At 41.3% G+C, this 26,366-nt stretch overlaps 1 protein-coding gene across 1 annotated transcript, besides 3 other annotated features; it reads left to right on the top strand.

The window, feature by feature from the left end:
- Positions 15,190 to 15,619: a silencer, noted in NCBI's record as "silent region_5411". NCBI's record gives its function as "represses an Ori minimal core promoter by ATAC-STARR-seq in GM12878 lymphoblastoid cells {active_cell/tissue: GM12878}" and the evidence as "EXISTENCE:reporter gene assay evidence [ECO:0000049][PMID:35858748]".
- Positions 15,417 to 21,647, top strand: KCTD12 (potassium channel tetramerization domain containing 12). The gene has a single exon (NM_138444.4). It carries the CDS (start codon positions 15,674 to 15,676, stop codon positions 16,649 to 16,651), a length of 978 nt encoding a protein of 325 aa, NP_612453.1. The 5' UTR covers positions 15,417 to 15,673; the 3' UTR covers positions 16,652 to 21,647.
- Positions 15,903 to 16,402: an enhancer, noted in NCBI's record as "H3K4me1 hESC enhancer chr13:77459555-77460054 (GRCh37/hg19 assembly coordinates)". NCBI's record gives its function as "activates a minimal SCP1, AML or CMV promoter by ChIP-STARR-seq in naive H9 embryonic stem cells {active_cell/tissue: H9 hESC(naive)}" and the evidence as "EXISTENCE:reporter gene assay evidence [ECO:0000049][PMID:30033119]".
- Positions 16,020 to 16,289: a silencer, noted in NCBI's record as "silent region_5410". NCBI's record gives its function as "represses an Ori minimal core promoter by ATAC-STARR-seq in GM12878 lymphoblastoid cells {active_cell/tissue: GM12878}" and the evidence as "EXISTENCE:reporter gene assay evidence [ECO:0000049][PMID:35858748]".
- Positions 21,648 to 26,366: the final 4,719 nt, after the last annotated feature.

Raw genomic sequence — 26,366 nt, 5'->3', positions numbered from 1 at the left:
CCTCCCATTATCCCCTCTTGGTTAGAAACCCCATTATATTCTCTATTGGCTTCCTGGACCCCTCCTTTGAGGAGAAAATAATATTGAAGAGTAATCTGATGTCTTTAAGTGCTATTTTGAGAAAGCCCCACTCACGTATCTCCTCATTTTCCTCCTTCCACAGCTTGGATTCATTCCATCATTTTAATAATTCCCTTGTCTACCCCTTCAACTCCCTACCTGGGTAAATCTAACTTTTAGCTTCACCTGAGTAGCTGAAAACAGCTGGAGAAAAAAACATGTGCCTTTTGGTCTTCCTGTATGGGATGCATTTTTATTCCTATACCCTGCTGATAGGACAATCAGAGAGTTCATGCACTTTTCTTCTCTTGATTGAACATCTGGAGGTTTGATGAGAACCATTTAAGTATCTAACATATGTTAATATATATTTGGCCTTCAGTGCTCTGATGAAGCAGCCAGGAATAATGATTTGGTCAGCTGAAATGCTGTCTAACTATAGGGAAAATATTATTCTTAAATTTAAAGGTGGTTAGGAGTTATTTGAAACTTACAACATCAAATAAATCATTATACAAATTATTTAAAGATATTCAGTTAAAGCAGGTTGAATATGCATTCATTACTTTGTCTATGGTACTAGTTTCTCCTTGGCAGTCTTCCTATGTGGTATAAAAGAAAAACTTAACTAAGCCTCAGTTATTTTCTTAATCAGTCAAGTTCATTCAATGAATATTTGTTAAGTGGATTATGAATGTGATAAACCCAGGCTTGTTTCTTCAATTGTAAAATTTGGTTAATATCTGCATCCTCTGCTGAAGATAGGAACTCTGTCTGCCTTAGACATATCTGTATCCCAGCACCTAACATATTGCATTACATGTGGAAGGCGCTCAAGAAATGGAGATGGCTACTTCCATTGACCAAAAGAGCATCCTTGAATATGTAGAGCAGTTGAGGATAGGACAGTATCACTTCTAGCAAGAAGGATCAGAAGGATGATGTAAAAGGGATCAGATAATTTAAACACGTATAAAGTTCCTAACCATAGAACAACTATCCCAGTGTGCTGTGGCATCTTGTCTTATATTAAATTTGGTAGGGTAAAGTTAAAATTGTAGACTATGTCAATGTCACAATTAGACAGTTCCTGAGATGAACAAAAGCTTTTTCTTTCTATCTGTAGTATCTCTATATATCTGTAGATGGGATATTTGTAAACAATTTTGAAAGCAGGATGATAGACTCCTTTGGAGAATGGCCCAAGGGTAAATAATTAGAGGGCTTATGAAAATCTGTTTGCATTATTTTTTTTAGGTTTATAGACTTTGTTTCTTAGGGCAGTTTTAGTTTTACAGAAAAACTGAACAAAAAGTATAGCAATCCTATATACTCTTCTCCTCTTCCCCGCAGTTTCCTTTATTATTAGTATCTTGCATTGGTATGGTACATTTGTTATGATTGATTAACCAATATGAATCCATTGTAATTAACTAAAGTCCACATTTTGTATTAGAAATCACTCTGCATTGTACAGTTCTATGGGTTTTGCCAAATGCATAATGACCACTTCAGTTTTTATCCATCATAAGAACTAAATGATACAAGGTTTTGGTAGAATGAATAGGCGAGAAACCAATATAATTAAAAAATCAGTATGTGCAATAAAATGCTTTAAACTATGTGGAATGGTGCTATATTATTTAACACATTTTTACTTGCACTGTAACATACTTATAAAAGTAGATATATTAGTAAATGTACACTGGTTATACTTGTATGGTTGAATTTATTGAAATAAATGAACATTGCCTTTATATTTAGTCAAAGATTTAACAGCAGGAAAAAATTATGTATTAAAAAAAATCTGCTCATCACTGGGTATTCAAGGATCTCAGACATGATTGATCTACTGTTTGGCACAGGTCCTGAGACATAGGGAAGATACAGGACATACTAGCTATTGGTTATGATTATAAGTTCTCTAACATGATAGCTGTTAAATCAAGTTTGATCCCTGAAATTGGGAGGGAAGATTAGAAAAAAATGCCTATTTTTGCATAAGCAGTTGGTGAGGAAAATTGTTCTCTTACGTTAGAAAGAAGTAGAAATCATCTAATGCAATTTCTCAGCCCAAATCATAAGTCCCTTCTGTGTTGCCTGTCTGTAGCTTAGATCTACAGCAGTGAAGTCAACCCAGTTCTTGTCTGATATGTTTTGGCTCTGTGTCCCCACCCAAATCTCATTTTGTAGCTCCCATTCCCACATATTGTGGGAGGGACCCAGTGGGAGATGATTGAATCATGGGGGTGGATCTTTCCCATGCTGTTCTTGTGATGGTAAATGGGTCTCATGAGATCTGATGGTTTTAAAAACAGGAGTTTCTCTGCACAAGCTCTCTCTTTACCTGCTGCCATCCATGTAAGATGTGACTTGCTCCTCCTTGCCTTCTGCCATGATTGTGAGGCCTCCCCAGCCACGTGGAACCGTAAATCCAGTAAAACTCTTTCTTTTGTAAATTGCCCAGTCTCATGTATGTCTTTATCAGCAGCAGGAAAATGGACTAATATAGTAATTTGCTACCAGGAGTAGGGTGTTACCGAAAAGATACTTGAGAATGTGGAAGTGACTTTAGAACTGGGTAATACGCAAAAGTTGGAACAGTTTGGAGAGCTCAGAAGACAGGAAAATGTGGGAAAGTTTGGAACTTCCTAGAAACTTGTTGAATGGCTTTGACAAAAATGCTGATAGTAATATGTACAATAAGTTCCAGGCTGAGGTGGTCTCAGATGAAATGGGGAACTTTTTGGGAACTGGAGCAAAGATGACTCTTGCTATGTTTTAGCAAAGAGACGGGCAGCATTTTGCCCCTGCCCTAGAGATTTGTGGAACTTTGAACTTGAGAGAGATGATTTAGGGTATCTGGCAGAAGAAATTTCTAAGCAGCAAAGCATTTAAGAGATGACTTGGGTGCTGTTAAAAGCATTTATTTTTATAAGGGAAGCAGAGCATAAAAGTTTGGAAAATTTGCATCCTGACAATGTGATAGAAAAGACAATCCTATTTTCTGAGGAGACATTCAAGTCAGCTGCAGAAATTTGCATAAGTAATGAGGAGCTTAATTTTAATCCCCAAGACAATGGGGAAAATGTCTCCAGGGCATGTCAGAAGTCTTCACAGCAGCCCCTCCCATCACAGGCCTGGAAGCCTAGAGGGAAAAAGTGTTTTTTTGGGCCAGGCCCAGGGTCCTCATGCTGTGTGCAGCCTAGAGACTTGGTGCCCTGCATCCCAGCCACTGCAGCTATGGGTGAAAAGGGCCAACACAGAGCTCACAACACAGAGCTTAGAGGGTGCAAGCCTCAAGCTTTGGTAGCTTCCATGTGGTGTTGATTCTGCGAGTGCACAGAAGCCAAGAATTGGGGTTTGGGAACTTGTGCCTAGATTTCAGATGTATGGAAATGCTTGGATGTCCAGGCAGAAGTTTGCTATGGAGGGGGTCCTCATGTAAAATCTCTGCTAGGGCAGTGCAGAAGGAAAATGTGGGGTAGGAGCCCCCATACAGAGTCTCTACTGGGGCACCACCTAGTGGAGCTGTGAGAAAAGGGCCACCATCCTCCAGACCCCAGAATGGTAGGTCCACTGACAGCTTGCATTATGTGCCTGGAAAAGCCATAGACACTCAACACCAGGCTGTGAAAGCAGCCAGGAGGGAGGCTGTACCCTGCAAAGCCACAGGGGTGAAGCTGACCAAGACTATGGGAACCTACTTCTTGCATCAGTGTGACCTGGATGTGAGACATGGTGTCAAAGGAGATCCTTTTGGAGCTTTAAGATTTGACTGCCCTGCTAGATTTCAGACTTGAATGGGCCCTGTAGCCCCTTTGTTTTGGCCAATTTCTCCCATTTGGAATGGCTGTATTTACTCAATGCCTGCATCCCTATTGTAGCTAACAAGCAACTAACTTGCTTTTGATTTTACAGGCTCCTGGGGGGGAAGGAACTTGCCTTGTCTCACATGAGACTTTGAACTATGAACATTTGAGTTAATGCTGAAATGAGTTCTCTCATTTCATTCATGTGGCCTAGAAATATAAAAAAAATTTTCTTGTGTCATGAATGCATAAAATGTATGTCAATACAAGCCTATTAGATGATTTGCTACCATAAAATTTACACAAAGCTATTATAAAAAGGTAAATTGCATCAAAATTTATGTATATACTTACTGACCAAACATGGCACCACTGCAGTTGAGAGAATTATAAACAAACATGCAGTATTAAATTATAACTGCACAAAATTAACTGTAGCACATACTATACTACTATAATTTCATAGCCACCTCCTGTTGCTATTGTAGTGAGCTCAAGTGTCAAAAGTATCCACTTAAAATGCCATGTAATGCTACTCATCTCTGCATGAGCAGGTCATAACTCTGGTAAATTATGTGTCACAATGAAAAGTGATCTCTCATGTTTCCTGTGTATTTTTTTTAACATGTTTTAATGCAATAGCATAAACCTTGAATAACACATGACACCCATACAAACTGCCACTAGTGATGCTGGAAATGCTCCTAAGAAGCAGAAAAAAGTCATGACATTACAAGAAACAGTTAAATTGCTTGGTGTGTATTATAGATTGAGGTCTGCAGCTGTGGTTTCATTTCAAGATAAATGAATCCGGTATAAGGACCATTGATAAAAAAAAAAAAAGGAAAGAAAGGAGAGGAGAGGAGAGGAGACTCATGAAGCCACTGCTGCAGCTATGCCAGCAGGCATGAAAATCTTGGACTTTTTGCAAAATACCTTTTTATCTTGAATTGAAAATGCAGCTTTTCATGTAGATACAGAATTGTTATAAGAAAGGCATATCTATAAACTCTAATGTGATTCAAGAAAAAGCAAAGTCATGGTATGACAACTTAATAAAGGAAGGTGAAGGATCTAAAGCTGAAGAACTTAATATCAGCAAAGGATGGTTTGATAATTTTAGGAAGAGATTTGTTTTAAAAATATGAAGATAACAAGGGAAGCTGTATCTGCCAACCAAGAAGCAGCAGACGAGTTCCCAGACACCATTAAGAAAATCATTGAGAAAAGAAGGATATCTACCTGAACAGGTATTTAATGCAGACAAAAGTGCTCTATTCTGGAGGGGGCAGGGAATCCACATAGGACATTTCTTAGTAAGGAAGATAAGCAAGCACTAGGATTTAAGGAAGGAAGGGATAGGTTACCCCTACTGTTTTGCACAAATGCAATTGGATTTATGATTAGGACTGCCCTTTTTATACAGCTGCTAACTCCCAAGCCTTGAAGGGAAAAGGTAAACACCAGCTGCCAGTCTTTTGGCTGTACAAGAAGAAGAGCTGGACAATGAGAACACTTTTTCTGGATTGGTTCCATCAGTGACTTTGTCCCTGAAGTCAGGAAGTACCTCATCAATAAGGGACTGCCTTTTTAAAGTTCTTTTAATACTGGACAATGCTCCGGCCACCTAGAACCCTGTAGTTCAACAATGAACACATTGAAGCAGTCTACTCACCCCCAAAGACAATGTCCCTAATTCAGCCTTTAGGTCAGGGGGTCCTAAGGACTTTTCAGACTCATTAAACATGTGCTATGGTCTAAATGTTTGTGTCCCCTTCAAATTCCCATGCTGAAACCAAATCCCCCATATAATGGTATTAAGAGGCGGTCTTGGGAGGTGATCAGGTTCTCATGAATGGGATTAGTGCCCTGATAAAAGAGGCCTGAGGGAGCTTGTTTGCCTCTTCCACTATGTGAGGACATAGAGAGAAGGAGCCATCTGCACACCAGGAAATAGACCCTCTCTAGACACCTAATCTGCTGATGATTTGATTTTGGACTTCTCAGCCATGAGAACTGTTAGACATACATTCCTGTTATTTATAAGCCACCCAGTTTATGGTATTTTGTTAGAGCAACGTGAACAGACTAAGACAAGCTGCCACACTGCCTCCAGTAATACTCTCTTCTAAGCTATTCTATGCTAAAATTTAAAAAATCTTGCTATTACATTGTTTTTGGATTCTTCACAAGCTTGCTTATACTCCTTCAAATATACTCTTGCCTATTAAGATAACTCTTAAGCTTGTGATGCCTAGACTTAAAGATATGTGAATGCTAGGTGTAGTTTTACTGTCAGTTATTGTGTTTTTACTATCACATCCTCAGCTTGGATCTGTAAGAGGAAAGATTTGACATAAATAATTTATAAGGTCCTTTCCAATGTTGAAAAGCGATTGTATTTGGTGTTTGTACCTGTGCATGTTACAGTCATGCCACTGTATTGGCTTCTTAAACTTGCAGTAGATGCAGACTCCCAGGTCACTTTTCATGTAAACTGCTCGACTGTGTCATAAGCAATTGCATAACTTTACCTTTATACTTACTACATCCTCTCTTATTTGCTTCTCTTTCTTGCTGAAACCTATGTGGATAATTTTGAAAGTTAATTCCATATTTGTTTGGTTAGTTAGCCCACTAAGCTCTGTGTAACTATACATTTTATTAGCATAATTCCCACATGTTAATTTAATTTACTGATAAAAATTCAATAGAAAAAAGCTAAAACAGAATCTTTCTCCTAACCCGTTCTCTTCAGTTACGCATTGTTTCATTCATCAATAATCTTTGAATGTCTGTTTTTATCAACCATGTCTCCATCTAATTGATATTATTGTCCAGCACACATTTCTCTATCTTATCCAAAAAGATCATGAATGAGCTGTCAGATACCTTGCCAAAATATAATATACTTATGTCTACAGTATTATCACAATGCTGAGATATTAGCAATGCTGAGGAAAAGTGTTTTGTTTGACCTGACTTACTTGAGGTCAGCTTTGTATAGTATCTTTCCTGTTTCTCTAGAAACCTCTGACTCATGCAGGAAGGTAACTTCCCTCCCTATGATCTTCACCTGTGGCATGTCCCTGCTATTTTACTAGTCACTTACTTTGATATTGTACAGGTTCTCATGGGCCAAGGACCTGTGGAACCATCCATAACTTCTGGCAAGATCAGGCACATAGCAGGTGCTCTATAAATATTTGAAGGGATGTTGAATGCAATGTAAAGGGGAGCTAAACTTGCACTGTTGATACTTCTTCCAGTAAAATCTGTTGCAGCCATGCAAAACTTCTGTTTCCTTTGCAGTGTGCACACGTTCTTCCTGTTGTGGAGCCACTGTCGCCTGGAAGCTAGGGGGAAACACCATAGCTGTGGTTTGGGATGGTGCTCTTGCCCTCTTTAGGCTCAGTTCCTCAACATTTCATGGCTTAAGTCCCTGGGTTTAGAACAGAGAAAAAGTCATTGTCTTTGGATTTTAAGGATACCTGGAGTTTTTAAGGCCCTCTTTAGAACACTTCTGCTCACCCCTACCCAGCCTTTACCTCCTAGAGGTTGCCAATAGCTGAACTTTTAGTTACGGAGATAAAACTATGCCAACTGTACTTTGAGTTGCAAAGTCTAGGATGAGAAATAAGCCCTGGAATTGAGGGTTCCCAGCTGTCTAGATTTTGACTAAATTTTCCAACCAGAGAGTAAATTTGTGTTAGATGTGACTGACTCCTAGGAAGAAATGGGGAACTGCTGAGGAAGTGCCATTTACCCTGTCCATTTTAGTTACTGTTAAAGAGACATCATCTAAGAGAGAGTGATAAACAGATTGAAGAATGAGGTAAGCAAACTCACCAAGGAACTCTGAATTATAGAAGTGCAATGGCAATGGGGGAATGAAAGGGTGGGAGCAGAAACCTACATGCATGATGTCATGATGTATCCGTTATGTGCCAGACATTGTGGAAGAAAATGCTTTGTATCATCTCATTTAATCTCACAAGAGTCCCATGAGGTTGGTATTTTTGCTCCATTTTAAGATAAATATCTGAAGTTTAGAATATTTAAATAACTATGACCAATATCTGATTTTAAATAAAACCAGGAGAAGGATACAGGTTCATCAAACTCTAAAGTGTATGATTTTCCCATCTATATTTTACTGTAGGAAAAGAAATGTATTTTTTAAAAGTAAATTATACCAAGTAATGTAAATTTAAAGTTTAGCATGTTTTGAGGCAATTTTCTTACTGTGAAATATTATGCATATTTCTTTAGTAACTGGAAAGCAAATTGGGGAAATATATTTTTCCCCCTTAATTATATCAAATAAATGATCTTACAATTACATAAGAAATCAACCATTACAGTCTAGCCAGTGGCTTGGCTTCTTGTGCAAACCTCACAATAAAATATGCAGACTTTCTGGAACCACATATTAAAATCTCTGCAGTTGAATCAGCCCTTCTTTCTAAGTAACCTAAACTCAATGCTATTCAGCATATTAGAGAACTCTAGGGATGAGATCTTTAAAACCCAATGTCAAAAGGTGAATACCCGATGATCATCACCTTAGTTTCATTCATGAAAACTGGCTTTGTCCTAATTTATTTTCAGGCATGTGGGTCTGTCCTGCAGTGAGGTGCCCTGTTTTAGAGCCCTAGAAAGATATCAACTACAACTTTAACATAAGTATAAAATAATAGGGTGATATTCTTGTGTAAATTGGCTTTGAAGAAAATTTCCAAACAAATGTACCAAAAATGGTGAGTGATTCCAGCATCCCTCAAAGGAGTATATAGTCTTCAAGGTGATTATTTTGAATGACAACCTTCATTTGGGTGTTAAATGGAGCTGATATGGCTGCTGAAGAGTTCAAAGAGCATGGGATATGAAATCAGGAAGCATCCACGTGCATCCCAGCACTGCATCCCAGCCACCTGAGAGGAGGTGTGAGTCACCTAACCTTTTTGAGTTTCTTTCTTCATTTGGAACACAGGTTGGTTAACACCTCACAAAATTGTGATAATTAAGTCAACCTGACAATATGAAAACACTCGAAACAGAAAAACACTAGAATGTGATTAGAATGTGATAACTTATATATAGTTCCTCTCTAAATTTAATATCATGATTGGAAACCAAGACTTTCAAATTCTTATGAAACATCAGTGATGTTAATAATTAGTCTTAGTCAGAAGTTCCAGAATCACTCAAGTGATGAGGGCCAGCTATTTTTGTGTTCAGTTTGATATGCAAAGCCACAAGTAGAATGCACTTGTTCAATTTTATGAGCCCCAGAAGACCAGTGGATACTGCTTGCTTTGGGAAACTGGAACCTAGATCTCAGCAGTTTCCATGGATTCACTTTATCCTTGTCAAGAGTTAATGAGATCAGAATAAAGCCAAATGAACATGCTAGGAACTTGGTGCTTTGCAAACCGTAATGATATTTGAGAGAGCCAGAAATAAAATCTTGTTTATTTTGTGTACAGGACTGAATTAGGGAAAGATTAGGACAATAGTGTGTCAGTTCTATCCAGGGGCTCAAATAGAGATTCTTATTTGGGTAAAAGTACACATGGATACAAGGAAGGGAACAATAGACATTGGAGCCTACTTGAGGGTAGAGGTTGGATGGAAGGTGAGAATCCAAAAACTACCTATCAGGTACTATGCTTATTACTTTGGTGATGAAATAATCTGTACACCAAACCCCTGCGACGTGCAATTTACCTGTGTAACAAACCTGCACAGGTACCCATAAACCTAAAATAGGTTGGAAGGAAAAAAGAAGGCAGAAAGAAGAAATAAGGGCCAAGGACTTGACTCTTTCTTAACCCTAGTTCTTTCAGGGTGGCTACTTTGAGTTTCTGGTTACCAGTACTGCGGAACACAAGCACGTAGACTTTAGAGTAGCATTTCTGCCCCCAGCAGAGATAAAGAGCTGTGTTATCTTGGTCAAGTTACCTTACTTCTCTTTGCCTTGGGTTTCTCATCTGTAAAGGGGGAAAATAATATAACTTACTTCTTAATACATGTAAAGCACTCCTAGAGGAAAGGGGATTTAAAATGCAGTGTTTAAAAGCACAGATTCTAAGGCTACACTGCCTGGGTTCAAATCCCAGCTCCAGCACCTATTTGCTGTATGATCTTGGGAAAATTAGTTCACTGTGCCTCAGTTTCTCATCTAAAACTTGGGTAATAGCACCAACCTCATAAAGTTATTGTTAGGATTAAATGAGTTCATACATGTATAGTTCTATAAATAGGGCTGGCTCATAGTAAGTACTCTATACATGCTTGTTATATTATTTGTTTCCTGGATAAGCTCCAAACACCATCTTAAGGGTATAGAAATATCAACATTGTTAACTTTTGTTTCTTTGTTTGGTTCTATAAATCATAAAAATCATACTCTAGAGATAATCATACAATGTTGGGATATTCTTTACTGTCTAGACCTGTTTTTTTTTTTTGTTTGTTTTGTTTTTTGAGATGGGGTCTCGCTCTGTTGCCTAGGCTGGAGTGCAGTGGTGCGACCTTGGCTCACTGCAACCTCTGCCTCTCAGGTTCAAGCAATTCTCCTGCCTCAGCCTCCTGAGTAACTGGAATTTAGACCTAGTATTTTGGCAGTGTACCCTATATAACATTTTGTTCTCTTTTCTTCAGGTTAAATATTGTCACATCTTTTACCAAATCTTTATTAAGATCATTTTGCCTCCGGATTCACTTAATGTTATTCAATTAATCTCTCCTTCTAAATGCAAAAAGTCAATGACTTCTAAAGCCTGCATGGAGAAAAGATTCACACATATTAGGAGGATGACAAATGGAATAAATATTTATTCAGGATAATTTCTGATTCTGCCTCTCTTCCCCTTTCCCCATAGTGTTCATTTTAATGTTTCTGCCATTCATTTGTTCATTCAGTATTTATTGGGAAGACTTGTCAAGCACCATGATAAGTGGTGGAAAATAATGATTCTGACACTTGAATGGTGTTTTACAATGTACAGATCATTTTCACATATATTAAATTCATTCAATTCTCAAAGGCACTCACTTCATTTCACCAGTTCTTCCTCCCCTTTAACTTTATATTTCTCTTCATGTTCCTCATTCCTTTCCTTAAATCTTTGGTATGCAGAATACAGTAGTCTCCTTTCATACAAAGGGTATACATTCCAAGACCCTCAGTGGGTGACTGAAACCGTAGGTAGTACTGAACCTGATTGCTGTCCATTGGAACATGTTTCTCTTCATGTCTTCAATCCACAAGTTTAATGCCTTTTCCATTTTCACTACACACTTATCATGCACTCTGTGCCATACGTTTTGTGTTTGGAGGTGTGACAGCAAAACTAGCACAAATTTTTCCTTCATAATTTCACAGAAATTTCACAATGTCTACATTCTTATCATAGATCTTAGCAACCTTGGGATGTAACTTTTTTTTTCTTATTAAATTGAGAACTTTCACCTTTTCACTTAAAGGCAGCATTTTATGGCTTCTCTTTGGCATATCTGAATTGCCAGCATCACTACTCTTGTAATTTGTGGCCATTTATTAAGTAAACTGAGTGTTACTTGAACACAAGCACTGTGATAGGGTGATACTAAGACAGTTGATCTGACAGCTGAGATGGCTACTAAGTGACTCATGGGTTGGGAGTGTAGAGGTGTGGATATTCATGTCCAGGGCAAGACGAAGCAGGACAGTGGGAGATTTCATCACACTACTCTGAATGGTGTGCAATTTTGAATTTATGAATTAGTTATATTTCTGGAATTTCCATGTAATATTTTCAAACCACAGCTGACCATGGGTAACTGAAACCATGGTAATGGAAACTTTGGATAAGAAGGATTACTGTGGGGAGTGGGAGGGGAAGCTGGTTTGAAGAGAAGGCAGTAGGTGGGGGAGAAGATGCAAATGAGATGAGAATGTAGGTCCAGAGATGTTTCCAGTATCCTCCACTTTAGGATCAAAGGACAGGTTACTTGCAGGCACACTGTATCTTATTCAGGAAAATACAAAGAGTTACTTGAAAAGGAGCAATGACCATCAATTAGCAATGACCATCATTAGAAACTGGTTTGAGACTAAACACAGGGCTAGTGGGTTTCCAAATCCTCCCCAATCCCTTGCAATCAAGCATATTTAACATACTGGAGATGCTAAAGAGTTATGACTCTCTTCTTATAAACACTCAGGCCCTCAAGTCCCAGCATCAGAGTTCCCCAGTAGTATTTCCTTTTGAATTCTGTGATACCAACCAATAGGCAAGAAACAGAACACACAAAATTAACTAGAAAAACATTCCTTGTGTTTCAAATCACCTGTTTCATTCATTATTATATCTCTCATGCATTACCTGGCTTCCATAAGGAAATACCAATGGCTTTTCTGCAGTAGACTAGCTGGTGGTTGATGACTACCTTATGTCAAGATGTAGAGAATGATGATAGTAGGCTGCAGGTAGTGAATAAGCACACGGTATCACTCACATTTGACTCTGTACTGATCATCTCAAGGGTACTTTGGAGATTCACAGGATACAAGTAGATGACACAATACATAAACTTTCAATGTGAGCTCACTCATAACTCAGGCCCCTTTAACTTGTTTGACCCTGTGCCTGGAATGCTCTTCCTCCAAAACTTCCCATGGCTGTCTCTTTCTTATTATTCAGCTCAAATGTCACATTCACAGAGATGCCTTCCCCAGGCACTCTGTATAAAGTAGTATTCCACACTCAGTCCCTCTATCACATCTTATAATTTTATTTTCTTTGTGGCATTTATCACCACCTGAAATAGGCTTACTTATCTTTATACTATATTTATTTGTCTCCCTCGCAAGACTATAAGCTCCTAGTGGGCAGTGATTATTTTTTAACATGCAGCCTGGAATATAGTAGTAGGCCCTGAATAAATAGTGGTTGAATGCTTGCGTGAGCAACAGATATTTATCAAATGCCTGTAATATACCAGCTCTGTTCTAGGCAGTGGGGGTGTGGCAGTGAACCAAGCAGACAAAAACTGCTGAAGTCTTGGAGTTTATATTCTGATGTAGGAAAAGAGTCAACAAATAAGGCAAGGAAGAGGAAGCTGCAGTGAGGCTGTGCTGCATTAAGAAGTGGAATCAAGGAAAGGTCTTGCTGGGCAGACCTGAAGAAGGTGAGAAGGGAGGGACCTGAACAAGGTGAGGAACACGGGAGGGAGGAGAAATGAGACTTTTACAAGGATGTGCAAAGGCCCTGAGAAAACAAGAAAGGGGCTATGTGGCTAAAGCCAGCCAGCTCCTGGGGGCAGGGCAGGAGATGTGTCAGAGAGGTGCTGGTGGGATAACTCCAAACATGTAGAGTCTTGTAAGCCACTGAGAGGACTTTGGATTTTGCTCTTTCTGAGATAGGAAGCCACTGGCAGGCTCTGAGCAGAGTGACATACCAGCCTTGGATTATAAGCAGGGTCCCTGTTTTTGTTCTGGTGATACAAGACTGTAGGAGCAGAAGTAGAAGCAGTTAGGAGACCAGTGCAATAATCCAGGCAAGAGATGATGGTGGCTTGGTCCAGGGTGATGATAGGGAGATGGTGAAATACGTTAATAGTCTAGAAAGATTTTTAACACAGAGCTGGCAGGATTTGCTGATGCAATGAGCAATGGTAATTATACAAAAATATGTGCAGAACTGATACAAAGAAGGCTTTTCTTGGATTTGTAGAAAAGAGGCTGGTTTTGTCAGGTCTCTGACACTAATATAACGCCTAGTAGCACAACCACCTCGAAATCCTGCACTGGGACTTGGAAGTTTTGTGTTATCTATTATTTATCCCAAAGAACAGAACAACAACAAAAAAAGAATGTTGAAATACATTCAGTATCAAAATCTGTACTTGCAATTAAGATAACTGGTTTGGGGGTTGATCTCATTTCAGCACACTGACATGAGCGCGGTAATTGTTGAGCAGATATAAACATTTCAAAATAAAAATGACATTTATCTGTGAGGAGACTGTGAAGCTCACTGGGTAGTTACACAGAAGGATAAATTTTATCAAGAACAAAGATCTTGCCTGATTTATCCTGATGTGTGGTCTATACTTCAAACTGATGTGATAACTGCGCAGACCCCTGACCCTTTGCTTATTGGGCTACACTGAAAGCGCTTTGGAGATTATTCGCCTTTGCATTCCTCACTCCCTGGTGCCCTGCAAATAATAGCAGGTACACAAGAAACATTCAGTGACCCAATCATTTCTTGACACCCTCCTCTGCACTCTTCTCTTTTTGCAGCATTCAGGAGCTCTTACTTATTTTCATACCCAAATCAGTGATCAGATAATCACTCATAAATATGACATTTCAGAACGTGCTGGGAGCAGCGCAGACAGTGTGTAGGGAGCCATCCAGAGGCCCCACCCACCTGGGAAGCCAGGGAAAGCTTCCAGGGGGAGGGGGCGGTTCTGTGGGCTGCAGTCCGAGGGGGAAAAGCAAACGTGTAGGCAGCAGGAGTTGAGAGATGGGATCCAGACAAGGGCCTTCAGATATATAAATATCCCTTTCTGAGACTGACGGGAACTTGGACAGGGCCGAAGAGTGACCGAGGCATGCGGGAGAGAAGGGGCGCCTGGACTTTTGGAAGGATAAACATGCAGGCGCCAAAGGTGGCTTTAAAAATTACGTTAGATCTGCAACTGTTGTGAGTCTAAGGGCGCGATTCAACGAAGGCTGAATGGGACCCGGAGACCGAACGTTCCGGAGTCTTACCCCTTCACTTCGAAGTGAAGTGCCTCGAAGGCCCTGCGGGAAGAGGGAATTGCAATTAAGAGCAGATTTGAAGCTTCATCTCATTTTGTCTCTGCAGCCAGAAAATAAACTATCGTAAAGCATCCTACTGCGGGACACTGAGGTTTGCTTTTTGTTTCTAGGTTTATTTATTTATTTTCCAGGCTGGCTGCAAGGCAACTTGAACAAAATCTGGCTGCGCTCGGACTGGGGCGGCTCTTTCGTCTCTCCAGGTTTTTCGCGTCTCTCTACTTTCAGTGACACGACAACCAACGATGGCAGGCCGCAGCTGCACTGCTGGAAGCGCCCAGTTCCGCAGGCGGGAGGGCCGGAGGCGGCCACGCATTTCCACTCCCGGGGCGACAGGCTTCCGAAAGTTCACGTCCTCCTTCCAGAGTCCTTGGGTGCGGGCTGGGGCGAGAGGGGAGGGGGCGCGGTGACTGTCCCTCCAAGGAGCTGTCTTCCGAAGCCGCCAAGTCTCGGGCGGGTCCTCTTCGGAAGAGGGAGAAAGTTGGGCGGGACCACGGGGCGGGGCTGGTGGGTGGGGAGCGGGTGGGAGTCCGGGCGCCCCCAGCGCTCGCGAGCCGGGGTGGAGCCAGCAGCCCCGCGTGGCGTCCGCGTTTAAGATGCAAATCGAGTCCCCGCTCCCCACCTCCCCTCGCCCGGTAAGCGAGGCTCCGCCGCCGCCCACGCCTCCTGCGCGCCACGGCACCAGAGCAGGCGGCTCTACTTAAGCAGCGCGCGGGCCGCGACCCGGCACTCGCCTGGAGCGCGCGGGCAAGGCGGGCGGAGCGCACTGGAACTCAAGGGGGCGCACAGCGGCGCGCTCGCACCGCTCGGCTCCGCGCGGCTCTAGGAGGTGGCGGCGGTGGCGGTGGCGGCGGTGGCGGCGGCGGCGGCGGCGGGGCGCAGGGCTGAGCGAGCGTCCGGGTTCCGGGGCTCCGGGGAAGGCGGTTGCAGCTCCTGAGTGCAGCGCGGCTTCCTGCCACTGTCCCGGCCCGGCCACCTCTCTGTCATGGCTCTGGCGGACAGCACACGTGGATTACCCAACGGGGGCGGCGGCGGGGGCGGCAGTGGCTCCTCGTCGTCCTCCGCGGAGCCACCGCTCTTCCCCGACATCGTGGAGCTGAACGTGGGGGGCCAGGTGTACGTGACCCGGCGCTGCACGGTGGTGTCGGTGCCCGACTCGCTGCTCTGGCGCATGTTCACGCAGCAGCAGCCGCAGGAGCTGGCCCGGGACAGCAAAGGCCGCTTCTTTCTGGACCGGGACGGCTTCCTCTTCCGCTACATCCTGGATTACCTGCGGGACTTGCAGCTCGTGCTGCCCGACTACTTCCCCGAGCGCAGCCGGCTGCAGCGCGAGGCCGAGTACTTCGAGCTGCCAGAGCTCGTGCGCCGCCTCGGGGCGCCCCAGCAGCCCGGCCCGGGGCCGCCGCCCTCGCGGCGCGGGGTGCACAAGGAGGGCTCGCTGGGTGACGAGCTGCTGCCGCTTGGCTACTCGGAGCCCGAACAGCAGGAGGGCGCCTCTGCCGGGGCGCCGTCGCCCACGCTGGAGCTGGCTAGCCGCAGTCCGTCCGGGGGCGCGGCGGGCCCGCTGCTCACGCCGTCCCAGTCGCTGGACGGCAGCCGGCGCTCGGGCTACATCACCATCGGCTACCGCGGCTCCTACACCATCGGGCGGGACGCGCAGGCGGACGCCAAGTTCCGGCGAGTGGCGCGCATCACCGTTTGCGGAAAGACGTCGCTGGCCAAGGAGGTGTTTGGGGACACCCTGAACGAAAGCCGGGACCCCGACCGTCCCCCGGAGCGCTACACCTCGCGCTATTACCTCAAGTTCAACTTCCTGGAGCAGGCCTTCGACAAGCTGTCCGAGTCGGGCTTCCACATGGTGGCGTGCAGCTCCACGGGCACCTGCGCCTTTGCCAGCAGCACCGACCAGAGCGAGGACAAGATCTGGACCAGCTACACCGAGTACGTCTTCTGCAGGGAGTGAGCTCCCCAGACCCCCTCGCCACTCCAGCGCCCAGTCCTTCTCCTGCCCGAGAGATGATTACAGAGCCTCTTGTCCCACCTTTGTCCCCTGGCTGCTGCCCTCCCATTCTCCCCCTCCAGTAGTAGCTGGGTGAGACCTGTCCGCCCACCTTCCCTCCACTACAGAACCTGCAGCCGCAAATCCTCTGGGCTGCTTCGTCTTCTTTGGACCTCCTGAACCGAGAGAACCCAGAGGAACCCCCACCCCACCCCCACCTACCACTCCATGCTTTCTCTACTCCCTGCCTCAAACCACCCCTCCCCCAGATGGTACTTCAGTTTGGATCTATTGGGGGAGTGTGGCCACAGACCGGGGGATGATTGAATTGTTCAGAACCTGATTGGACCGTGTCCAATGTGCGGAAGATTTCCTTGAAATCTTCTCAAGCTCTTATGACTCACTGGGGGTTTAAGAGATCAGGATTGGTTCCACTGTCTGGGGTTAGTGTTTTACAAGGTCATTACACAGTCTTTTTGACCTCTTTTGAAGGTAGAGTTTTAGAAGGCTGGATGGAAGATTCTGAGCCTGGAATTAGGACCCCATGGAGGCAGTTCAGTAACTAAACTAATAAAGTTTTGAAAAGTTACACGTAAAGTAGAAGAATCTAGTGCGTGGGACAGTAAAGGATCCTTTCTCGTACAGAATAAAAGGTCTCAGCCTGTAGCTTAAACTTATAGAAAGTGATCCGCCTGCCTGCAGAGGCGCCCTTTTCAGCTGCTGCTCGCCAGAAGCCCTTGATTCCACTGGTTGACATGGCAGCAGTTACTGGCAAGAGGGAGAAAGGACGCTGCCGCCTAAGAGTGCAAGGCTGCTCAGGTCTCCAAGCGCCGTAGGAGGTCACCTGGCAGTGACTGTAGGGAGCTGGGTCATAGTGCACGTCGTGGGTATTAGGAAAGCCTGTATTCTTTCAATGAATGTCAGTAGGACCTTCCTTTAGCTGTAAGACTTGGTGGGCGGGGTGGGGTGGGGAGGGAGGAAAGGGTAGGAAGGGTGGGAAGGGAGAAGCAGACATAGTCATTTATGATTTGAAAGTTGGAAGTTTGTACCATCTGTTTGAGTATATGCACATTTAAAAAATATCATATAGTAAATGCAAACATGCCAAGTATTTTATAAAGATTAATAACAGACCTACTCTTACCTGGCAGTTTACTTAACTTACTGTTTTGAGTCCTAAACTTAGAGTTGTTAATGCTTATATATAATCTAACCAAAGAGTTACCCAGTAGGGTTTTAGTTTTTGAACTTTTATTTTCTTGTTGATTATAAATCCTGATTTTGGAATCTATTGCGCAAAAGAAGTTTCATTTTGGTTACTTAGACCTAAGATCACTTATTAAAAATCCTTATTTTCTCCAAGCCCAGCAAACGTTGACTTCTGGGCAAACCTGAAAACCTGAAAATGCCACTTTCATGCAGTTTGTTTGAAGTTAAGTGGAATCCTTTCAAATGACGAGCTGCAGAGAACTCAGCACCAAGGGCTGCCTATCTGTAGATAGCTGTAAAATGGAATATTTTTAAATGAAGGCAAATAAGTACTTAAAAGTGAGCTGAGCAATAAAATGGTCCAATAATAGGTAAATGCAACAGAAACAGAAGGAGACCTGGTTGCCTTATGCCTTTACTCTTACATGGAATAAATTCCCAATGCATATCCTATGTAAACCATAAGTGAAGGGAAATAAACCTCGTCATGCTCCATGCTGTGAGGTGTCCTTTGGATATTCTGTGATGACAGAGAAGCCTATTTTGTTTTGTTTTCAGCATCTTTCTCTGATGTACGTTTTTAAGGATTTTGTAAGAGCTGTTTTCAGTGTTTAAATTAGTGCTATTTTTCCTTGTTTTTAAAAATGAATCTCGTACTGTATCTTACTATGTCCATACAGATGTTACAAATCGACAGTTTTATTCTTAGACTCATGTGATCCAAGCTGTATATACCATATATAAACATTTTACATGAATCATTTAGTTTTTTAATTCATTTACTAATGCTATAAAATTTCCTATATTACCCCAGTAATTTGCATCAGCTGGTTTATATACTAAAGCAACATGTTTTGATGAGTTTCTTACATCCTTATCGAGGAATTGGGTTAGGAAAAAATACATAATTGTAAAACTGAGTTTGCTGTATTATACTTTTTTTCTTGAGTATTAGTTGTATTACTAATCATATGTTGATTAACTGTCTACTTAAAGTCAAGGTACCTGTATTTTTAATCCACTAATTTTTTTTTAGTTGGGAAATAGATTTCAGGTCTTTTATTAGACTAACATTTTTTGAGAAGTAAAATTGACTTCATATACAAAGCCTGTAATTTTAGGCGAAATGGAAGCAGAAATCTAGGAAGTTGTGCTTGCTTGTATGTTGAGTTTGGTCTCAGACTAAGTAATGCATCAGAATTCATCTGTTTGAAGCCTGAAATAATTTAGGACTCTGATTCACTGACCAAAAGTCAGTGTTGCAGAGATTTCTCTACCCCGTATGGTATTTTGTTAGATTGTTCAACAGGAAGCACATGATTGAGAACATCTTGGGACAGACCAAAACCACTGACAGATGGCAAGGCTCGGCGATTCTGATTTCCCTTCTCAAATCTGCTCAACTCCAAGAGTCTTGAGAAACTGCTAAAATTTTGCCTCTGTCACTCAAGTCTTACAAATGTTATCTTGTAAACCTTTGAGGTGAACTATTCCACTGTCTTGTACATAGGCATCTTATTCACTGCACCCTGTCACACCCAGCACCCCCCGCCCCGCACATTATTTGAAAGACTGGGAATTTAATGGTTAGGGACAGTAAATCTACTTCTTTTTCCAGGGACGACTGTCCCCTCTAAAGTTAAAGTCAATACAAGAAAACTGTCTATTTTTAGCCTAAAGTAAAGGCTGTGAAGAAAATTCATTTTACATTGGGTAGACAGTAAAAAACAAGTAAAATAACTTGACATGAGCACCTTTAGATCCCTTCCCCTCCATGGGCTTTGGGCCACAGAATGAACCTTTGAGGCCTGTAAAGTGGATTGTAATTTCCTATAAGCTGTAATAGTGGAGGTATTGTGGGTTCATTTGAGTAAGCCCTCCAAAGATACCATTCAAATAACCTGGGAGAATGTCATAAATTATTCAGATAATTAACACTGCATGAATCTGATTCAGAGGCATGCATTTACATATGTTGCCCTAATTACCATTTGATGATCATAAATACAAGTGAATGACATTGGACTTTTAGTAACAAACTTAATTTTTAAAAAGGTGTAGACAATGGTGGTTAAAAAAAAAAAAAAAACAGGTACCAGGTTCTGTGTGTTTGCACCAAGTAATTGACATGTTTTTTAATACATGTGGACCATGAACAGTATTCATTCTACTTTTTCAAATGATATGCTGTAGAAAATATTCCTTGAAGATGTGAGATTTAAAAATTTTTCCCTTTCAATGTTGTTATGTATTCTACTGGTTTTTGATTGATAGCACAGTGATAAATCATAATACTAGACAAAATTGTCTTCTCTTTCAAACCAGAGCCATATATATGTCTGTATATATGGGACCTACTGCTTCTCTGAGGAAATGCATAATCTGTTAATATCAGACAAAATGAGCAATTGGCAGTGCTCATAATATATTCCAATTTTTATTGGAATTTTCGATGGAATGTTATTTCAATAAAGCCATGTAAGGTGAAACTTTGATAACTTTTTACTCTTCAAGTTAGGGTAAATTCTGATCCAATATTCAATTCATTTGTGTACTCCCACATGCAAAATGCTAAATTACAATGCAGACATTAAGAAAAAGTATTGACTGGAGGGGTTGAATTCCTTGAGAATTTATTTTATAGTCTAAATCACAAATACTTTACTCAATTTAGTTTTTAAAATAGTAAACTGAATATTTTTGTTGTAAGCCTATCAGAGTCAATCCTTCGTTTGGAATTGTTTTCCTGTTTTTCCTTACTATAAATCATTTAAAAACTGAATTCATTTTCTTAGATGGCATAAGTCTGTCTCTTGAGAAATAAGTAAAATACTCCTATTTTCAGTATCTGTAGCACCTGAAATAGGTCTTTGTATAGCCAGAAACAAGTTATGTTGAAGTTAGCTTTTCTTTGTCAACAGTTTTGGACAATAAAAATCTGAAAGTATTAACACTTGATTTTCTACTGGGGCCCTTCAAACTTGGTTGGAAGAAATTCAACCAGAATATCTACATTAGAGTATAATCATGTGTGGTAGGAAGATGGACTAGTTAATCAAGATTTGTTGTCACTTAAATTTTTTGTGATTTTTTTCCAAGCCAGTTTTTTTAAATTCTAAATGTGTTTTGAGGTATGGGTACATTAATTGTAATGTAAACTATTATACAACTGTTTTTGCGACTTTATAGGCAGGTAAATTTTGCTATTACTATTGAATACAAATGACAATTCATTTATGACCACTCAAACAGCGTTAGTAACCATTTAGTGACAAAGGATTAAAACATCCATCTGGATGTTAATTTTGAAGATGTAAATTATATGTTGTTTAAATTTTTCCAGGCATCTGAAAACCTTATCTGCTAGACAATGTAAGATTCACACAGAGTTATCTGGGATTCTGATTTTTTAAATAGTACATATCATTAAACCATTTTCTCTAAATGTAAGAAGAGCAGAAAAAATCTTATAAGATTATCAGATTTTTCTAATGACACAGAAATGTAAGAAAAAAATCCCTTTATATTGAAAAAAGATGCAGTCAAAGTCTTTTCAGACATGCCCAAACTTTGAGAATTTCTTCAACCATCTAATGCTATAAAGATTTTTGTTCTTCCTGTTCACAACCAGTTGTATAACAGAAATACTAGCTACTGTTTTCCTTCCTGTGTGTGAAGTAATGAATCATTGATTATGTGACTTGTTATGTATTCAATTAAACACTAAAGAATAAAACATTCACTCCTTTAATTATTCCTCTTGGCTCCTTGGCATGGATTGGCTTGAACACTGGTCTAATTTCATTTACGGGGTTCTCTAAATACTGGCAACACTTCCCAAATTATTGTGGGACTACTGCTGAGCATTATGCCATCAGAACTCTTCACCAAGGAACCGGCCAGCAGGACCAAGCACAAATAGCTTCTTTCCCCAGAGTTTATTGTCAAGAATGCCCAGGCGGTCTGGTACTTAATATGGAAGAAATGTTTTTCACAAACATTTTCTTTGACTTCTCTGCAGCATATGCCACTTGCTGTGTATAGGGACAGGGAAATAGAAGCTTCGAGATGTGCTTTACTTAAAAGTACAGTTCATGAGAAGGTTCTAAAAAATGTTGGGAAAGAGGAGCTGCATTTTTTGATGTGGGGGCACTTTACTGCCTCATCTCTAGTGGTTGATGTTCCTCCTCTCTAAAGAAGGCACAGTGCTGCTAAGATTGAGAAATCACAGAAACAAGTCGTCTGGGTTATGGCACCGGAAGCCATGAGTCAGGCGGGTAGAGTGAGCCAGGCTTCACCCTTCCTCTTTCCTTTTGCCTGTACTTCCTCTGGATAGCTTTTGTTTTAAAAGTGTGTGTGTGTAGACACATTATTTTTTGAAAATGTAATACAGATTAACCCTCCTCCAGTAACCGCTAGTTTTTCCTAGAGGCCTCCCTTTTTTTTTTTTTTATCTTTTCTGTAGAAATCACACCTGTTCTGTGTCTTGCTTTCTGTTTGTTAACTACATATCCTGGAGCTACTGCAATGCATGAACATGTGGCAATGATCTACCTCATTTTGTTTGATAGCTACATGATATTCTACATGACACGCCATTGTCTAGATGTGCTGTCGTTTATTTTGTAAGTCCTTTATTGATAGGCATTTAAAATTCCGGGTATTTTTTTTCTACTCCAAAGAGTGCTGTACTGAATGTCTTTTTACATATATGCAAATATATTTGAGTCCAGCTTTTTTTGTATGAAGTGATGCCAAGAGAGAAATGACCAGGAGGTACTTTTTCCTTCTTGAGGAACTATGGAAACAGTGGGATTCACTGGAAGCTTTTTAGGAATTGGTGGGGGTGGTGTGAAATCACTCTAGAGTCATTAGGTATATAAGTGTGAAGTTTTATGTAGCTTTTATATTGGAAACAAGGCCCCTTCCCTTTGTTTTATACCTCCTTTCAAATTTTAGATTTTTTCAATGAATTATGACCAATATTTTGGTTTTAGGTATACAGTATATCTAGAGGAGCCATGTTATATCCCATACTTCTTAAGGAGGCACCTCGGGGGGATTTGGAAAAGGATGGGAAGTTATAGAAGAAATATGGGGTGCCTTCTGGAATCTCAGTTTTACTAATTAAGATATGTACCTATGGATAGGGGAATTAGGTCCTTTCACTGGTAAGTGATTTATAAAAATCTGTTTCATTTTATGGAAGGATTGAGAAATTTTCATGAATTTAAGAGAGAAAACCCTACATGTTAAAGATACTCTGAGCTTGTAGTATCCTAGGAATGAGTGCACGCTCTTCTGCCGTTAGGAACTTGGCGATGGTGGTAGTGGTAGAGTTGAGAACTTCTGTTGGCATATACTGGGCTTGATTTTTGAGAGATAGTTTAGGGAAAACGTCAGCCTCCTAAGTTCTCTGCTTTACTATGCTCAGGTAAGAAGTTTCAATGTCCCTCTGGGGCCCAAGGGCACCTTCTTTACCCTCACAGATCTCCTAAGAGTAGTGGATGGGGCGAAGTAGAAAAGAGGTCATCGAGGCTGTTTTAGGCCATTAACTCTTAACTTGGCTGCTGCAACTTTCCCCCTTGTAGAGCAGCCATTGAGGATTCATTCATTCAAAATCTCTGAGTACTTACTGTGTGCCACACTGTGCCAATCTGATAGGGAAACGGGGATGACTAAGACACAGAAGTGCTGAGGATCAGTAAGAGAGCCAAATAATGATAGAATGACTTGGAAATCAGGGCTAAGATAGTCTGAGCAACTGAGGGAGTCAGAAAGGGAGATACCTAAGTCAGGTCTTAGGCTTGCTAGAGGAGGAGACACCAGAGCAAAGGCTTAAAAGTGAAGAAGAGAAAGAGGAGAGGCCTGCTAAGTCCAGGTCAGCTTAGTGAGGAATGATCGGGAGACAGCAAGAACTAGAAACAGCTCAGTGTTGCTGAAACCTCATGGCAAAAGCAAAAAGCCCTCTATGCCCACCAAAAAAACAACCAAACCAAACCAAAACCAACCAACCAAACAAAAGCATAGAGAAGCAGTAAGAGCCAGATCAGGGTGAGCCTCACGTAACCCATTACAAGATTTGAACTTTGGTTCTCAGGGTTTACTGAAGAATTTTAAGCAAGGTGTAAAGTAATCAGAGAATTCCATTCTGCAGAGAACGTTTGGGGGCTCTGCGAGGAATGGGTTTGATAGGCATGGCCAGGAGTCAGAAACCAGGAAGGAGGCTGTTTATGCGAGTCCAGATGAGAGGACCACACGAAGCCATGTGCAGATCTCCTGGCTGCAATGGGGGTGGTGGGGAGTGGGTCAGGTTTTGTTCATCTTTATTCTCCCTTCAAACCTCTCAGGTTATGCATGAGTGAGATTTCTTTGCAGTGATATTGGACACACCATGTTTGAATGAGAGACTCTGATGTTCTGTTAATCCCTAGGTCTCATCATCAAGAGACATAGAGTCTTTAGAGAGACCTCATCAATTATTTAGTAGGTACTGTATTGAGCACCTATTATTATGCATGCGAAGTCCCCAAATGCGAAGTCATCCTTTCAGCTTCAACGACCATTAATTGAGCCCCTAATATATTTGAGACGCAGCCTTCTCCTTTACCGTCACCAACAGAGAGCAAAATGGTCAACTGGCCAAGTACTTATAGAAGTTAAAGTATTTCTATAACTACCAGACATGACAAAAAACTTAGCATCGTTGGACTTTACACACATTTCATGGTTGAAATTTTATGAACACTATCTTTCCCTCACAATTCTGTTAAATACACTTAACAGCTACTAAGAATGATCTCCGCTTCACCCTCCCTCCTTTTTTTCAGAGTGAAAAAGATGAAGCATAGGAATGATAGATTCTAAAATTAATTATTTGGAGTTCTCTTTTGTTAGAGTAACTGAAAACATTTCCCCAGTTATTTATCATTTATTTCTTAATAATTCATTATCCTGGGGCCGGGCGCGGTGGCTCACATCTGTAATCCCAGCACTTTGGGAGGCCGAGGCGGGTGGATCACGAGGTCAGGAGATCGAGACCATCCTGGCTAACACAGTGAAACCCCGTCTCTACTAAAAATACAAAAAAATTAGCTAGGTGTGGTAGCGGGCGCCTGTAGTCCCAGCTACTCGGGAGGCTGAGGCAGGAGAATGGCGTGAACCCGGGAGGCGGAGCTTGCAGTGAGCCGAGATCGCGCCACTGCACTCCAGGCTGGGTGACAGAGTGAGACTCTGTCTCAAAAAAAAAAAAAAATAATAATAATAATAATTCGTTATCCTTCTCCATTCTGCTTTTTGGGTGGGTGAGGGAAGAGTAGAATCCAAAGTTAGAGCAAGCTCTCATTTCTGTATACAGAAAGAAAAGGGCAGTGGAAATATCTTCTTTCTCTGTCTTTCCTTTTTGGAAAGCATTGAATAAAAAAAAAATCACAGTTTTTAAGCAAGAGGAATGCAAGAGAAACGAAGAGTTTAGGCTCATTGATGACTTGGGTTGCTTGCCTCTATTATATAGAGCAGCCCTAATTCTGTTATGTAGTGAGCCCTTAGCTCACCCTCGACATCTATTTGCCCATTTATAGAATAGAAAAAGCATTTATTTTTCTATTTTGCCCCAAGGCTCAACATAGTACATAACATGTAATAGAGGATCAATAAAGGTTAGTTGAATAAATTAATGAATGCTTATGTTAGTTCATTTTTTTTCACATATAGGGAGAAAAAGAACTAACTTGAAATTTGCCAATATTTGCTTTTTTTTTTTCTTTTGAGATGGAGTTTCACGCTTATTGCCCAGGCTGGAGTGCAGTGGGGTGATCTCAGCTCACCACAACCTCTGCCTCCCAGGTTCAAGTGATTCTCTTGCCTCAGCCTCCCGACTAGCTGGGATTACAGGCATGCACCACCATCCCTGGCTAATTTTGTATTTTTAGTAGAGATAGGGTTTCTCCATGTTGGTCAGGCTGGTCTTGAATTCCCGACCTCAGGTGATCTGCCCACCGCAGCCTCCCAAAGTGCTGGGATTACAAGTGTGAGCCACCACGCCCGGCCTTAATCTTTGCTTTTTAAAATAATGCTACGAAAGATCAATAATCCCCCTTTATACCTATATATTTGAAAAAATAGAACTAGTTTCATAAATAAATATATAAAAATGATTATCCTTTCATCTGACTTGAAAGTCAGAAAGATTAGGATGAGAACTAATTGATTCAGGTATCTTTTTTTCTGAATAGTTATTATAGGGCAGCTGCTCCAAAGCCCCATGTGAATTTCTGGCTAAAGGAGAAAATGCTCGGCAATGTTTCCATTTTATGACGAAAGTCAAGCTCACTGACAGCTGTATTATATACTTTCCTCTGGGGCTATTATTTGGTACAGATTTTTGAAAATCTTAACTGGAAAGTTTCAAAAGGTGCCTCTAAAAGTTGTAGGAAAGAAATTTGACCTCCCTGAAATGCTGGAGTATACT

The sequence above is a fragment of the Homo sapiens genome, chromosome 13, assembly GCF_000001405.40.
Source record: "Homo sapiens chromosome 13, GRCh38.p14 Primary Assembly".
NCBI classification, from domain to species: Eukaryota; Metazoa; Chordata; class Mammalia; order Primates; family Hominidae; genus Homo; species Homo sapiens.
Note: the sequence above shows the minus strand (reverse complement) of the source record. Positions and strands in the feature narration are given on the sequence as shown.

What these genes read in the sequence shown, in the direction of transcription:
- KCTD12 (NM_138444.4), top strand. Translation starts at nt 15,674, where the DNA reads ATGGCTCTGGCGGACAGCACACGTGGATTACCCAACGGGGGCGGCGGC.